The sequence below is a fragment of the Homo sapiens genome, chromosome 11 (genome assembly GCF_000001405.40).
Source record: "Homo sapiens chromosome 11, GRCh38.p14 Primary Assembly".
NCBI classification, from domain to species: Eukaryota; Metazoa; Chordata; class Mammalia; order Primates; family Hominidae; genus Homo; species Homo sapiens.
In genome coordinates this window covers 1,519,799-1,533,612 of record NC_000011.10, presented here as the reverse complement: position 1 = coordinate 1,533,612, position 13,814 = coordinate 1,519,799, and the positions used below count along the sequence as shown (strand labels likewise).

General features: G+C 53.8%; 5 annotated features.

Annotated features, from left to right (window-relative positions):
• Positions 1,093-1,593: an enhancer, noted in NCBI's record as "H3K27ac hESC enhancer chr11:1553250-1553750 (GRCh37/hg19 assembly coordinates)". NCBI's record gives its function as "activates a minimal SCP1, AML or CMV promoter by ChIP-STARR-seq in naive H9 embryonic stem cells {active_cell/tissue: H9 hESC(naive)}" and the evidence as "EXISTENCE:reporter gene assay evidence [ECO:0000049][PMID:30033119]".
• Positions 6,757-7,256: an enhancer, noted in NCBI's record as "H3K27ac hESC enhancer chr11:1547587-1548086 (GRCh37/hg19 assembly coordinates)". NCBI's record gives its function as "activates a minimal SCP1, AML or CMV promoter by ChIP-STARR-seq in naive H9 embryonic stem cells {active_cell/tissue: H9 hESC(naive)}" and the evidence as "EXISTENCE:reporter gene assay evidence [ECO:0000049][PMID:30033119]".
• Positions 11,405-11,654: an enhancer, noted in NCBI's record as "active region_4289". NCBI's record gives its function as "activates an Ori minimal core promoter by ATAC-STARR-seq in GM12878 lymphoblastoid cells {active_cell/tissue: GM12878}" and the evidence as "EXISTENCE:reporter gene assay evidence [ECO:0000049][PMID:35858748]".
• Positions 12,592-13,092: an enhancer, noted in NCBI's record as "H3K4me1 hESC enhancer chr11:1541751-1542251 (GRCh37/hg19 assembly coordinates)". NCBI's record gives its function as "activates a minimal SCP1, AML or CMV promoter by ChIP-STARR-seq in primed H9 embryonic stem cells {active_cell/tissue: H9 hESC(primed)}" and the evidence as "EXISTENCE:reporter gene assay evidence [ECO:0000049][PMID:30033119]".
• Positions 13,093-13,593: an enhancer, noted in NCBI's record as "H3K4me1 hESC enhancer chr11:1541250-1541750 (GRCh37/hg19 assembly coordinates)". NCBI's record gives its function as "activates a minimal SCP1, AML or CMV promoter by ChIP-STARR-seq in primed H9 embryonic stem cells {active_cell/tissue: H9 hESC(primed)}" and the evidence as "EXISTENCE:reporter gene assay evidence [ECO:0000049][PMID:30033119]".

Genomic DNA, 13,814 nt, shown 5'->3' with positions numbered 1-13,814 from the left:
CCTTGTGTCCTGGCTCATGAGGGCCTCTTCCCAGCCCTGGGAAAGCCAGCCACCCTAGGGGTCTGCCTGCCAAGTGCTGCTGTCAGATCGAGCAGGGGCTTGGTGTACCACCAGACCCCCTCTCCAGAGGAAGCTGTGGTCTCTGCTGCGGTCATCCGGTACGGGAGGAGGGGTGTTGAGGCCACTGTGAGGGAGGACCCCTGTGCCATGCCCCTGTCACCCCAGTGTTTCTCCTTTGTCCACACAGCGGTCTGGGTTAGAAACACCAGGGCCCACTGCAACTTTTGTTAGGGCCACTTAGTGCTGGTTGGGAGCCACAGGGCCGTGGCCTTTGTTTCTCCGTGGTGATTACTGCTTGTGCAGCCTCCTGCCAGTGCTAGACCTGTCTGGAAGGGAAGGGCGTGTGCTGTTCCCGTCTGTCTTTGGCCAGAAGAGCCTCCCATTCTTTGCCTTCACCATGTTTGTTTTTTTCTGCACAGGATTTCTCCTGGCTGGGGCACACCCATTGGTGTTCAGTGGAAGTAGAAACAATTGGAACAAACAAAATGTGGAAGCTTAAAGAGAAAAGAAGGAGATGGTGGGCAGGGCTTCCAGGCCACGTGTGATCTGTGGCACTGCTTGGCCTGTGGACTGTGGCCACAGTCGCGTTGCTGTCCCTGGCTCCCTTCTCTTTGAAGGTCTCCTTTGCCAGCGCACACGGCTCCCTGGGCTGGAATGTCTGTTCATTCATCCCTGCAGTTGTTTGCGGATGTCCCGGGGCTAACGTGAGTTAGTTAATGTGAGTGAGTTAAGTGCCGCAGCTCCTGTTTTTCGCCCTGCGTGGTGGTGATTTTGGTCTGTGTCATCGAGCATTTCGCTGTGGTGGGCGGGGAGGCAAAGAGCTCCCACAAAGGTATGCAGCTTTTCCCTGCAGAAAGCAGGCAAGCTGGAGGGTTGGAAAGCATGGAGGCACCATGCTGTTTCCCTTTTGCCCGTGACCTTTGCGGGTTGGGAGACTTTTCTTCCAAGCACCCTTTCAGCAGCGCCTTTTCCCCTCCAGACATGGTGGCTGTGCAGGCTGTGGGCTGGCAGACCCTATCCCCACAGCAATGCAATCTCAGGAGCCCAGGTGGGGCTGTTGTCTCGGGGTTTGGCCTGCACCGTCTACGGAAGCTCCTAACTCCTGCTTTGCTGGGACTTGTCCTCAGCCCATGGAAAGGCCTGATGGTGCCAGGTGGCCCTGAGGAGCCAGATGCCTGAGCCTGGGGCCAGGCCTGGGCGTGAGCCCAGGAGCATAAAATTAGCTCCGGCGTGGGTTGAAAGCTGCTGGCGTGAGCATGGCTTGTCTGTGTTGAGTTTGTCTTGCACAGCCCTGGCCTCTCCCCACAGCCTGCGGCCAGCCCTCTACATGGGCGGCCGCTCTGGGTTCCTCCTCCCGGCACATCTGCCCTTCTGCTGCGTGCCCTGTTCTTTGTGCCACATGTGACAGGACCATTTGTCATAGCAGTGGTGTCATGAAATACAAGAGTGTGGGCCTGAGAATCTGGGTTGAGTCAGGTTCCTGTTGGAGGCCTGCATGCGCGCAGCCTGCTCTGAGTGCTCCGGACACGCGTGAACAGAGGCAACAGGAGCCACCCCTGGGCAGCTTCCCCACTGCCGAGGGGGACGGGAGTAAGGAGGTGTGGGATGGGGTGCCTGGAGGGGGTGCGTGGGAGAGCTGTTTGAATAGGAGCTCTAGAAGGCCTCTTTGAGAAGGTGCTGTTGAGCTGAGACCTGCGGAGGTGAGGGAGGGGACTCGCCATGCAGGCCTATGGAGGGAGCCCTGGCTCCCTGGTGCTTTGTCTCAGAAGGGCTGCCTTTGCCTCCTCCCCCTCATGGTTCCAGGGACACGTGGGTTTTTATTTAATATTTTTCAGTCGATTGTCGTCTTTAATAATATTTTGATGAATGGGCTGTGTCAAATTTAGCCAGCAGGAGCGCATGTGACTCAGCTCCCGTATCAGTTGAATAGACGAAGGGGCAGGGAGGGAAGCCTCTGTGAGCAGGAACTGGTGAGCCTGGCTGTGTATCACCTGGATAACCTCTGAGCTGAAGAGCTGTGCCAGCAAAGCCCTTGAGCTCATGTGGGCATGGGGGACAGTCTGAGGACAGGAGGAACAGCAAGGAGACCTCAGGCTGCGCTCAGGAGGCTTCGGTGGCAGGTCAGATTGCTCTTACAATTTGGCAACCATCTTATGAATATTGTGGGTTAAAAGAAATAATCAGTGTCACCGGTAGCCAAGTTTTTAATGTTAAAAAAGATGACAATATAGAATAAAATGAACCCCTGCAGGGTTCCGTGGGGAGTATTACCATGAGAGCATCATTCTGTGCGTAGGCTGTGCTCCCTGCCAGCGGTGGGCTTCCCAGCAGGCGGCCTTGGCTCTGCGTGTGACATGCTCAGCCTGCAGCACCGTGTGCCCTCCTGAGCAGCTCTGCTCTGGTGGATGCTCTCAGCAGAAAACACACAACTTCGTGGTCCCCTCTTCTGCCCCTGGGTGGGCCAGGGTGCGGGTGTGCATCCCATGCCCAGGACTGCCAGGCAGGCCGCATGGTCAGCCACCAGGGTCAGGTGTCAGGCGCTGCTCCAGACGCGTGCGTCTCTGATCTTGGGCATGGCTCAGCAGCCTCCGGCTTGGCCGTGGGTGGTTCCTGCTCACCTGTTTCTGAGTGACCAACCCTGAAACTTCTGGGCCTAACATGAGGCCTCATCACCTTTCCCGCATCTGTGGGCTGGTGGGTGGGGCTCTGGCCCCACAGGTTATTCCTGCACTGCCACCCGTGGTGGCTGGGCTGGCAGCCCTCAGGGGCCTTGCTGTCATGGGTGTCTGCTGGGGTGCCACAGTTTCCCCCACATGGATCTCTCCAGGCAGAGTTTTATATCCTCACCCTAGAGCAGAGTTTTTGGACTTCTTGCTCTCAGGACCCCTTAAAGTCCTTGTTGAGGCTGGGCATGGTGGCTTCTGCCTGTAATCCCAGCACTTTGGGAGGCCAAGGTGGGAGGATCACTTGAGACTGGGAGTTCAGGACCAGCCTGAGCAACATAGGGAAACCCCATCTGTACAAAAAAGTAAAAAGAATTAGCCAGATGTGATGGTGTATGCCTCTAGTTCCAGTTGTTTGGGAGGCTGAGGCGGGAGGATTGCTTGAACCCAAGAGGCTGAGGCTGCGGTGAGCTCTGCACCGCTGCACTCCAGTCTCAGTGATAGTGAGACCCTGCCTCTAAAATTAAAAAAAAAGTCCTTATTGAGTTTACATGATGGAGCTATGAATATTCATCTTTCAGAAATTAAAATTGAGAATGTAAAACAACTTTAATTCATTTAGAAATAATTAAAAACCCAGTATATCTTAACATAAGTAATATTTTTAAAATTAAAAAAAAAACCTATTATCTTCTAGAGTCAAATAAATAGAGTGGCTTTACTTTTTGCAAATCTCGAGAGCTGGATCTGTCAGGTTCTGTGTTTATCCTGCTGTAATTTTACAGGCCAGGTGGCTTCCACAAGGCTTTGGCACATGGCACCTTTGTGGTACTGTAAAGACAGTGCTAACCTCATGGTCCCAGACCACACTTTGGGCTCTAGGACTCCCCACGTGGCCTCTCTTTGCCTCTGCCGGGACGGCCTTCATCCCAGGAGAGCCATCATGAAAATGGCTGGAAGACAATACATCCTTTCAGCCACCTTCTGTTGGTCAGGGAGTCACGGAGCCACCTGGATCTGGGGGTGGGAGTGGTTAAGAGTGGACAGCCTGCCTCTGGATGGAGGAGGGCTCTAGGAGGCCCTGGTCCTCCTGCCTCCTTCAGGAGGCCCTGGCTGGTCACCTCAGAGACCAAGGCCTTTTCTCTCTCCCTCTAACTTCTGGGCAGGGCTCGGCCCTCCTCACGGGCTACCTTCCTCTTCCTGCCATTTAGTTTTCCTCCCAGGGCGTGCAGCCCGGCACTACTGTGGGCCATGGGGTTGTGCAGGTGGGGCAGGTGCTGTCTCCGGGTACCACCGAGGGCTGCCGAGGCAGAGCCAACACTGGACAGCCCGCGTTTCCATTGCTGAGCTTTCATGGTGCCCGCTCAGGTGAGCGTCGGCCTGTGCAGGCCATGGCCCAACGTGTTCTGTGGCTTCACCCAAGCTTTCAGCTTGATTCAGTCCAGTGTCACTGTGACAGGGCTTCAGTGTGGCCCGGGAGACGCCTCTAGGGAGAGGCTGCTCAGGCAGCCCCTCGTTTAGGAAGAGTTCCTGAGCCCTAGTCGCCGGTCTGAGGGGGTGTCGGTACTCAGTGCTGGCCTGGACTGTCTTGGGAGGTATGGGGAGCACACCCCGGAACCCACCGAGCCACACTGCCTGGGACTTACCAAGCAGCAAGCTGGCCCTAGCAAAAATGGCAGAAATCGTATAAAACAGGCTACGAGCAGATAAGCTGCTCCTGTGTGGCTGTGTCCGCGGTGTTTTCAGAAGCCGCTGTTTGTGGGCTTTTGTCCTTTCTCGTGTTTGGTCAGGCTTCTCTGTGGAGGCACTGCACGCCCCTTCACCAGACGTCTCTCTGCACTGGCAGTGGTCTTACCAGCCCTGGGTGGGTTCCTTGGCTACTCAGCAAGACAGACCCCACAGGGCTTCCCAAGTGCCATTCTCTGACTCAGCAAACGGGACCTCAGCATGGGCCCAGTGGTCTCCAACAGGGAAGGAAAGGTGCATGGGAGGTGAGGTTTACTGAGCCGGGTTTCTGGCCCCACAGGGTGGGTAGAGGGAACCGCGGGCAGGGACAGCGGGACCCTTCCCTGTCACCGCAGCTCCCTCTGGGTTGATGCTTTTGTAACAGTGGGTAGCGCTGGCTGGTGGAGTCCAGGAGTGGTGCTGAGGGTGGGGCTGACCCGCACCTGCCTCTGGCTCCGCAGGGCCTGGCCTCAGGTTGTTGTGCTCAGCAGCCATTCATCTTCCCAGCACCCATTGGACCCTGCTGGTGTCCTATGTGCCTTGTCCTGCGGGGGTGGGGGGACCTTAGGAGGAAGGACACATCCCTGCTCACCTGGGACTTGGTGTTACATGTCCATTGTAGAGACACAAAATACAGGAAAAAAAACCCAGAAAATCAAAAGCAAATCCTCCTACCACCCAGCGATAGTCTGTACTTAACATTAAAACCAGCCTCACTCTGTAGTGGGACTCTTGCTACCCAGGGGAGTTGTCCACTGCTCCCCTGCCGGTGGGAATGGGGACGTTCCCAGGTTGTGTGATGCTTCCCAAGTCCCTGGGAAGGGAGCGTGGTGCCAGTGCTGGTGTTTCCACAGGTCGGTGCCCGCCACTTGTGTTGGTCTTTTCTGAAGAAGATCTTTGCCACGTTGACAGGCAGAGAGCGGTGCCAAGGTTTAGTCCGTGTTTACTGCAGGAGGGCTGATATGGCCGATGCTTCTATGCACGGTGGGCCATGCCATTATCTGCTTGGTCTTTGCCTACTTTGTCTTGAACTGGTCCAGTTTTCTTATGACTGGCATGGGTTCTCTTTAAGGGTATTAATCTTGAGTGTTAAGATTTTAGAGCTTGTTCTTAAAGAGAAAAGTAAAAGCCCAGGCGGAAACGATGGGAAGTGCTGGAGCCCGAGGCAGTGTCTCCACGACTCCCCTGGCCTGCAGAGGGGCAGAGGACAGGTACACTGCGAGCCAGCCCAGAGGGCCAGGGAGAGCCGGGGGCCGGGGGAGCTGGGGGCCAGGGGGCAGCCTGGGAGGGCGAGTGCCAGGAAGCCTTGGGCACCTGCTGGCCCTGGGCCCGCTCCTGCCCTTGGCTGGCGCCTGAGGGATGCTCTTCTTTTCACCATCCCTTACTTTTTATTTTTTATTTTATTTTATTTTTTTTTTTGAGACGGAGTCTCACTCTGTTGCCCAGGCTGGAGTGCAGTGGTGCGATCTCAGCTCACTGCAACCTCTGCCTCCTGGCTCCTGCCTCAGCCTCCCCAGTAGCTGGGATTACAGGCGCCCGCCACCACAACTGGCTTTTTTTTTTTTTTTCTTTTTGTATTTTTAGTAGAGACGGGATTTCACCAGGTTGGTCAGGCTGGTCTTGAACTCCTGACCTCGTGATCCACCCGCCTCGGCCTCCCAAAGTGCTGGGATTATAGGCGTGAGCCACCATGCCAGGCCTGTCCCTTACTTTCTTTTACAGCCTCCCACCTGCCTCCTTTCTGAGTGGCTGGAGCTGTGCGCTGGTTAGTTCCTCTGTCAGGAAGAAATCCAGGCCACGCTGGCACCTGACACCACTGACCTGTTCAGGACTTTGGTATGGCCTGGTACAGGTTGGGACCACGTTTAGTCACTGAGGCTCCTCAGAGCATGGAGACGGCAGTGGGCACGGGGCCACGCAGAGGGCTTAGGGCCATGTTTCTCACCGTCTCTCAAGAAACACTAGTCCTCCCAGACAACCAGGTGAATTCAGGAAGCCCCAGGTAAAGTCTGAGGCCCTCTTGGAAGCTCAGTGGATGGCAGTAGTTACAGGCTCTGAGCAAGGGAACCGTGGTTGACTGTGTGACCTGTAGTTGCCACTGCCCGGCCGCTGCCACCCGCTGTTCCCACCCAATTCCTACTCCCGTTGCCCGCCCTCAGCCTGTTCTTAGCTGTCAGAGGGGATGGTGGAACGGGAGCAGCCAAGAGAATTTAAAGCCGCCGATGGTCCACAGGCACCACCCCCAGTGCCGACGGGGGTGCAGGCCTGGTGTCTGCCCGGCTGTGCTCCAGAGGTGATTTTACTCCCCACCGGGGAGTCGGGTATTATGCCCTCAGAGATCCTCTTTTCATGCCACGGGGCCTCTGGGATGTGTGGCCTGAGACTGCCTGGGGCTGGTGGGTAGCTGTGTGGCGGGTGTGCAGTTGAGGCTTGCTGCTTCCTTGAGGGCAGAGTGGGCACCTTCATTTCCCAAAGCTGGCTATCTCTCCCTTCGTGACAGCAGCGTTTTCTGCTGAACAGTTTCCTGTGTCCTCCTTGCCTTCATAAATGTGTAACAAATACTGCTTCAGGGCAGGCTTCATCTTCTCCACAGACCCACACGTACCCCTGCTGTACCTGGCGTGCCCAGGGCAGGGAGCAGGCGCTGGATGGGTCTGACCACCCAGGGTATGCCTCTGCCTGGCCAGCTGGCTGCCTCCTGGACACCTGGACGCAGAGCTTTCTGAGATGAGCTCTGCGTTGGGATGCACAGAAGGGATTTGCTTCCTCTCGTGCTTGGGGTCTTGGGAATGCTTTTTTTTTTTTCCCCTGAGACAGGGTCTTGCTCTGTCATCCAGGCTGGAGTGCAGTGGCATAATCATGGCTCACTGTAACCTCCGCCTGCCTCCCAGGTTCAAACGATTCCCATGCCTCAGCCTGCTGAGTAGCTGGGATTATAGGCACATGCCACCAGGCCAGTGTAATTTTTTTTTTTTTTGGATGGAGTTTTGCTCTTGTTGCCCAGGCTGGAGTGCTGTGTCGCGATCTCGGCTCACTGCAGTCTCCGCCTCCCGAATTCAAGCGATTCTCCTGTCTCAGCCTCCCTAGTAGCTGGGATTACAGGCGTACTCCACACCTAGCTAATTTTTGTATTTTTAGTGGAGACAGGATTTCGCCATGTTGGCCAGGCTGGTCTCGAACTCCTGACCTCAGGTGATCCGCCCGCCTTGGCCTCCCAAAGTGCTGGGATTACAGGTGTGAGACACCCGCGCCTGGCCAAATTTTTCTATTTTTAGTAGAGATGGGTTTTCACTGTGTTGGCCAGGCTGGTCTTGAACTCCTGGCCTCAAGCAGTCTGCCCACCTTGGCCTCCCACAGTGCTGGGATCACAGGCGTGAGCCACTGTGCCCTGCCTTGGGAGTGCTTTTTGACATTCACTCCTGCACTGTGAGTGTGGAGACCCAGGGGCTTTTCTGGAGGTGGCCACTGTCAGGAGGTTTAGAAACCCTTTTTCATTAAAACCTTTATCTTCAAGTACATTCTGTTATTCCTGCTGGGAAGGCCTCCTACCTTTTTGGCTGAAGAAGTGCTGGGCCAAGCTGAATTGTGTGAGGGTTCCTGGGTATTTATAATTCATGTGAAAATAAAAGTGTTGTTTTCTGTGACCCCGTGCCTCTCCGAGGCCCTTACTCCAAGGCAGACCGAAGGCAGCTCTGTGCTGACGACGCAGGATCCTGGCCCACAGTTGTCCTCAGAGACTTCTTGGTAGGAGTGGTGGTGTCTCGGGTGCTCTCCTGCCCAGCAGTCTTCCCTCCTTTGCTGTCTTCTCCTTGTTGGACACACAGGTTCTAAGTAGCAGCATTTGTGGTTTGTCGGCTCCCGAGCTCTTCAGTGTCCCCCGGAGTGCAGCAGGTCCCAGGGTTCACTAGCTAAGTGTCCTGGCTCCTGAGCTGCCCTGGTGGTGGAACAGGGACTTGGGGCCTGGGTGCCCCCCGAAACGTTTGTGGAGCTCATATCCCACTCCCACGAGGGTCTGGACAGGCCTGGGTCCAGGGACTTGCTATGCCATGCAGTGGCTGTCCACGAGGCACCTCTGTGAGGGCGGGGCGGGAGGCCTGTTCTGTCTGGGCCCACGGTGCAGTGTGGACTTCAAGGGCGTCAGTCTGTACTATGCTGGGGCCTGTGGCCACCTTCCTTCCCCTTCCCCAGCAGGCTGGGGATCAGCTCAGGTGATCCGCCCGCCTCAGCCTCCCAGAGTGCTGGGATTATAGGCGTGAGCCACCGCGCCTGGGCAGGTCATTTCATTTCTAATCAAAATAATGAAATGGGACCCGGTGGCTCACACCTGTAATCCCTGCAATTTCGGAGGCCGAGATGGGTGGATCCACCTGAGGTCAGGGGTTTGAGACCATCCTGGCCAACATGATGAAACCCCGTCTCTACTGAAATTACAAAAAATTAGCCAGGCGTGGTGGCATGCGCCTGTAATCCCAGCTACTCGGGAGGCTGAGGAAAGAGAATTGCTTGAACCGAGGAGGCAGAAGTTGGAGTGAGCCAAGATGTGCCACTGCACTCCAGCCCGGGCGACAAGAGCAAGACTCCATCTCAAAAAAATAAAAAATAAAATAAATAAAATGTCCCCCAAAATGACGTGTGGAGGGCTCTAGGGTGAGGATGGAGCCCTTTCAGATAAGGACCTTTTGCGTGGGTAGGTCCCTGTTACAGAGCCTGAAGTTGTGGTGGTGGCCTGTGTGTCCCGTGCCTCGAGCCTGCTGCTCAGGAAGGCCACGTCCTGCCTCCCCTCACGCCTCGCCATCCATGCCATGGGGCTCCATCCAGAAGGCTGTGAGGGTTTTGCTGGATTCCCTAAGCAAGCCCGCAGTTCCCTGGGCTGAGGCCTAGGCTCTTATAGCCATAGGCACCTGGCGGTGGCGGGGATGTATGTCCTTATCTTTGACTCATGCTCCACACAGCCACCTGAGAGGATCCACATGTCATCCTCCTATATACAAGGCACTTTGGTGGACCCCCATTGCCTGTGGGGTGAAGTCCCCTGTCTCTCTCCAGCCCCACCCTGTGTGGCCCATGTGCACTTCAGCCTGGCTGGCCCTCCAGTGTCTGCAGTTCTGCCGAGACACCTGGCCTGTGTGCACACATGTCCTTGCTGTGGCTGTTGTCAGGTCTCTGAGCTTCTTTCCTGCCACCTGTTGTGGGCACAGGGCTGTGACCTGCTGACTCCCGTCTGTCTTTCTGACCCCGTGCAAGCTTCTCTGGCTGTGGGCTCTCAGGCACTTGAACTCCAGCCTCCCTTGTGTCCTGAGCTTCAGGACTGAGACATAGGTGGGGGCAGGTGGAGCTTTCTAGTCACCGTCTGGAAGATGCTTGTCCTTCCTCTTCTTCCTGCCTTCCTGCGGCTCCTCGACAGCCCTTGGTGAGAACAGGGCTGCCCCATGGCTGGGGCCCCAGGAAGGTGTTGGAGGGTGAAGTTTGACCCCTGCCCTGGGCTAACACCAGGGAAGGACTTGGGGCCTGGGATGGTGGGCCTTTGTCCCAGCAGCTCAGCTGTACTCACAAGTCAGCATGAAGATTTCAAAGCCAGATTCACACATTTCACCTGACAGGAAGAATAGGGAACCCACCCCTGACAGGCTGTGTGCCCCCTTTACACGCTGATGGAACGTTGACCAAAACCTCCGCTTATCTCGGTGAATTGAATTCCTCTGGAGTGTGCTCTTGACCCAAGTGGAGTTAAACTAGAAATCAGCAAAGTGATACTCCTAGTATTTAGAAATTAGGAAGCACACTTCCAAGTAACCAGTGGGACAAAGAAGAATTTGTAATGGAAATTACAACATACTTTTTAGCTGAAAGATAACAAAAATATGCCATGCTGAGACTTGCAGGGTGCACACCGGCCAGGAGCGGTTCACAGCCCTCAGGTACTCGTCACTCTCGGAGCAGTAGCTGGGCTCAGAGACGGTGGATGGAGGGAAATGAGGCTGGAGCAGAAGTTAACAAAGCAGAAAGTCAGTCTCCCACAGATATAGTCATCGAGGCCAGAGTTGGATTCTTTGAAAACAGGAATATAGTGGAAAATCTGGCAAGAGTGATCAAGACAGGGAAAAAGAGATGGCACAGATAGCCAGTCTTTTTCATAAGTCATGCTGGCCAACCAGATAGCCATATTTAAAAAAACCTTGGCCTGTACCTCACACCCTACAAAGAATAATTGAGCCCAGTAGAATGTAGGTCTAAGTGTAGAAGGTTCTGGAACTGCTGTCCAGCACGGCCTCCAGCCATGTAGCTTGGCAGCGCTAGAGATGTGCTGAGTGTAAAATACGCTAGACTGAAAAAAATACAGTGGCACCTTGTATTTTCTGTATTGATTGTAAGTCGAAAATATTTTACATCTGTTGGGTTAAATAAAATTAATCTTGGCTGTTTCTTTTACTTTTCAATGGGGCCATTAGAACATTTAAAATTATATCCATGGCTCAGATTATGGCTTGTGTTATATTTCTCTTGAACAGCACTGTTATAGAAGATGCTATTCTTGACCCATGGGTTAAGAAAAGTTTTTTTAAACAGGACTAAAAAGTACTCATCATAAAGGAAAAGATAGATAATTTGGTTTACATTAAAATTAAGCAGCTCTGTTTATCAAAGATATTCCTCAAAAACTGAAAAGGCTGGCCGGGGACCGTGGCTCACACCTATAATCCCTGCACTTTGAGGGGCCGAGGCTGGAGGACTGCTTGAGCCCAGGAGTTCAGGACCAGGCTGGGCAACATAGTGAGACCTCATAAATAAATAAATAAATAAAAATAAATTAACTGGACGTGGTGGCATCCGCTACTCAGGGGGACTGAGGTGGGAGGATCCCTTGAGCCCAGGAGGTCGGGGCTGCGGTGAGCCATGATCTCACCACTGTACTCCAGCCTGGGCCACAGAGCAGGACTCTGTTTCAAAAAAAAAAGAAAGCAACTTTTGCAGGGGGAATTTACCATACCTAGAACTTACCGGAGCTCAGATCCAGACTTCCCCACGGGCTCCAACAAAGAACAAGAAACAGCTCGTCCCGTAGAAGATGGGCAGAGGCTTGAACAGATGCCTCATGAAGAAGGACGTGCAAACGGCCCCGAGCCCTGGGAAAGAGCCCTTGACCACGTCTCCCCTGGGGTGAGCCCGGGAAAACCCCAAGCCTTAGACGCACTGCACGTGACAGCGGGTGTCTAGTGAGCACCGCGCCACTAGAGCGGGTGTCAGGGCGCCTTGCTAACCCTTTCCACCTGGTGTGCTCGCTGCTGTGTGGAACTCCCATCTTGTGCTTTTCATCTTCCCATGCTTTGTTTGAATTTCTTCTTTTTATTTTTTAATTATCCTTCTTTCAAATTGCCTTGGAAGTTAGGTACTTTATTTTATTTGATTTTTTGTAGAAGCAGGGTCTCACTGTGTTGTCCAGGATGGTCTCAGACTCCTGGCCTCAAGCCATCCACCCACCTTCACCTTCCAAAGTGCTGGGATTACACTGTGAGCCACCGTGCACACCCTCCTTTAGTGGTTTTCTTACAGCACACGCTAAACCTCCAGGGTCTGATGTTGATTAACAGCTTTATCCGCCTCCCCGAAGTACCCAAGATACTAGACCGCTTCTGGGTACTTCCCCTCTTGAGTTGTGAGCACTTGCTGTGTTTTAAATTCTGTACACTTCGGACCCCCACATGCTACTGCTGTGTTTTAAATTCTGTACACTTCGGACCCCCACATGCTACTTGTACGCTGGTATTTATTTAGGTTGGCTGGTTTTGTGCTCCATCTCTTTGGCTGTACCCTCTCCTTCCTCCTTTGTCCTTCTGGGTTTGTCCTTTTGCGTCTGTGACCAGTTTTCCTCTGCTTGTGCTGCAGCCTTGAGCTTTCTTGGATTTTCTTTCAGGTGACTCTGCTGGGGGCGCCCTCTCAGTCTCTGTCTGAAAATGCCTTCAGTTGTCCTTCATTCTTGGCAGAGCTTTTCGCTGTGTGTCGTGTTCTTGGTTGGCTTGCTTTCAGCCCTCTTTCGACGTGAGGCCGCCGACCTCCGGCTTCCGGCGTTGCTGTGGAGAAGCGGCTGTCAGATGCACTGCTGCTCCCTCGAGGGTATCTGCCACCTCCTGGCCCCAGCTGCTTCTGACGTTTATATTTTTAAATTTTTACATAATTTCAAAGTTAGAAGTTGCCAAAGTAGTGTGAATAATTCCTGCATACCTTCTCCCAGATTGGCCAGTGTCAGCGTTTCTGCCACATCTGCCTTGCCGTTTTCTCTCTCTCAGTACCTGCACGTGGGTCTTTTCTCAGCAGTTTGAGAGTGACTTGCATCTTTACCCCAGCATAGGATAGAATGCACTTCTGCAGGGAGACACCTCGGTGCACCCACACAGAAAGAGATGGTGAAGGGGCCAGACTGCCCGCCCTGTTCAGGATAAACTTTGAAACAGGCTCAGAAGTTACTTCATGTGAGATGTGGGGGAGACACGGAGGCATGGTGTGAGCGAGTGATAGCAGATCAGGCTTGCTGCATACTGGGAGGGGGACTTCAGTGGAAACTGCCAGCACAGAGCAGGACCGTGAGGATGGAGGGAGCCCGGGGGTGGCCAGCCCGATGGCCAGCGTCTCAGTGGCATCTCCCTGGGCTGCAGCCTGAGAGGGGCAGGGCAGCAAGCACGGCTGCTCTCTGGAAGCCCCACTCTCAGTATTGACGTGCAAGTTCACAGTCTAGTTCCTGACGCCGTGGAGACCAAGCCCTTCCCTGGGGACTGGAGGAGAGATGAGCAAAGGGAACAGAACACGACCCTGAGAAACTGGGGATCTGACCCCGGGCCCGCAGAGTGAGCTGCAGAAACAGTGGGCAGTCCCCACATGGCCTTGTTACAGCCTAGATTTCTTACCGAAATAGTTTTTTTGTTTTGGTTTTTATTTTTTGTTTAGAGACCAGGCTGGAGTGCGGTGGTGCAATCACAGCTCACTGCTGCCTTGACCTCCTGGGTTTAACAGATCCTCCTGCCTCAGCCTCCTGAGTAGCTGGGACCACAGGTGCGCACCACCGTGCCCCACGAATTTTGAAAAAAATTTTTTTATAGAGGCAGAGTCTTGCCGTCTTGCCTAGGCTGGTCATAAACTGAAAGACTTAAAGCAGTCTCCATTAATGAAAATTAGCAAGACTCTGTTTTTCATTTCTCCACTGATTCAATAGTATTTAGTTTTACGTTGTTTAAAAGGAACATTCAATCTCCTTTGCAGTCATAGTTCTTGATTTCATATTACTGAATGGTTGCATTAAAATCCCTTTTGACTAATTATGAGGTTGGGAATTCTAAAGTCTGTTGAGCAGACAGCTTGTGTCAAGTGAGGCAG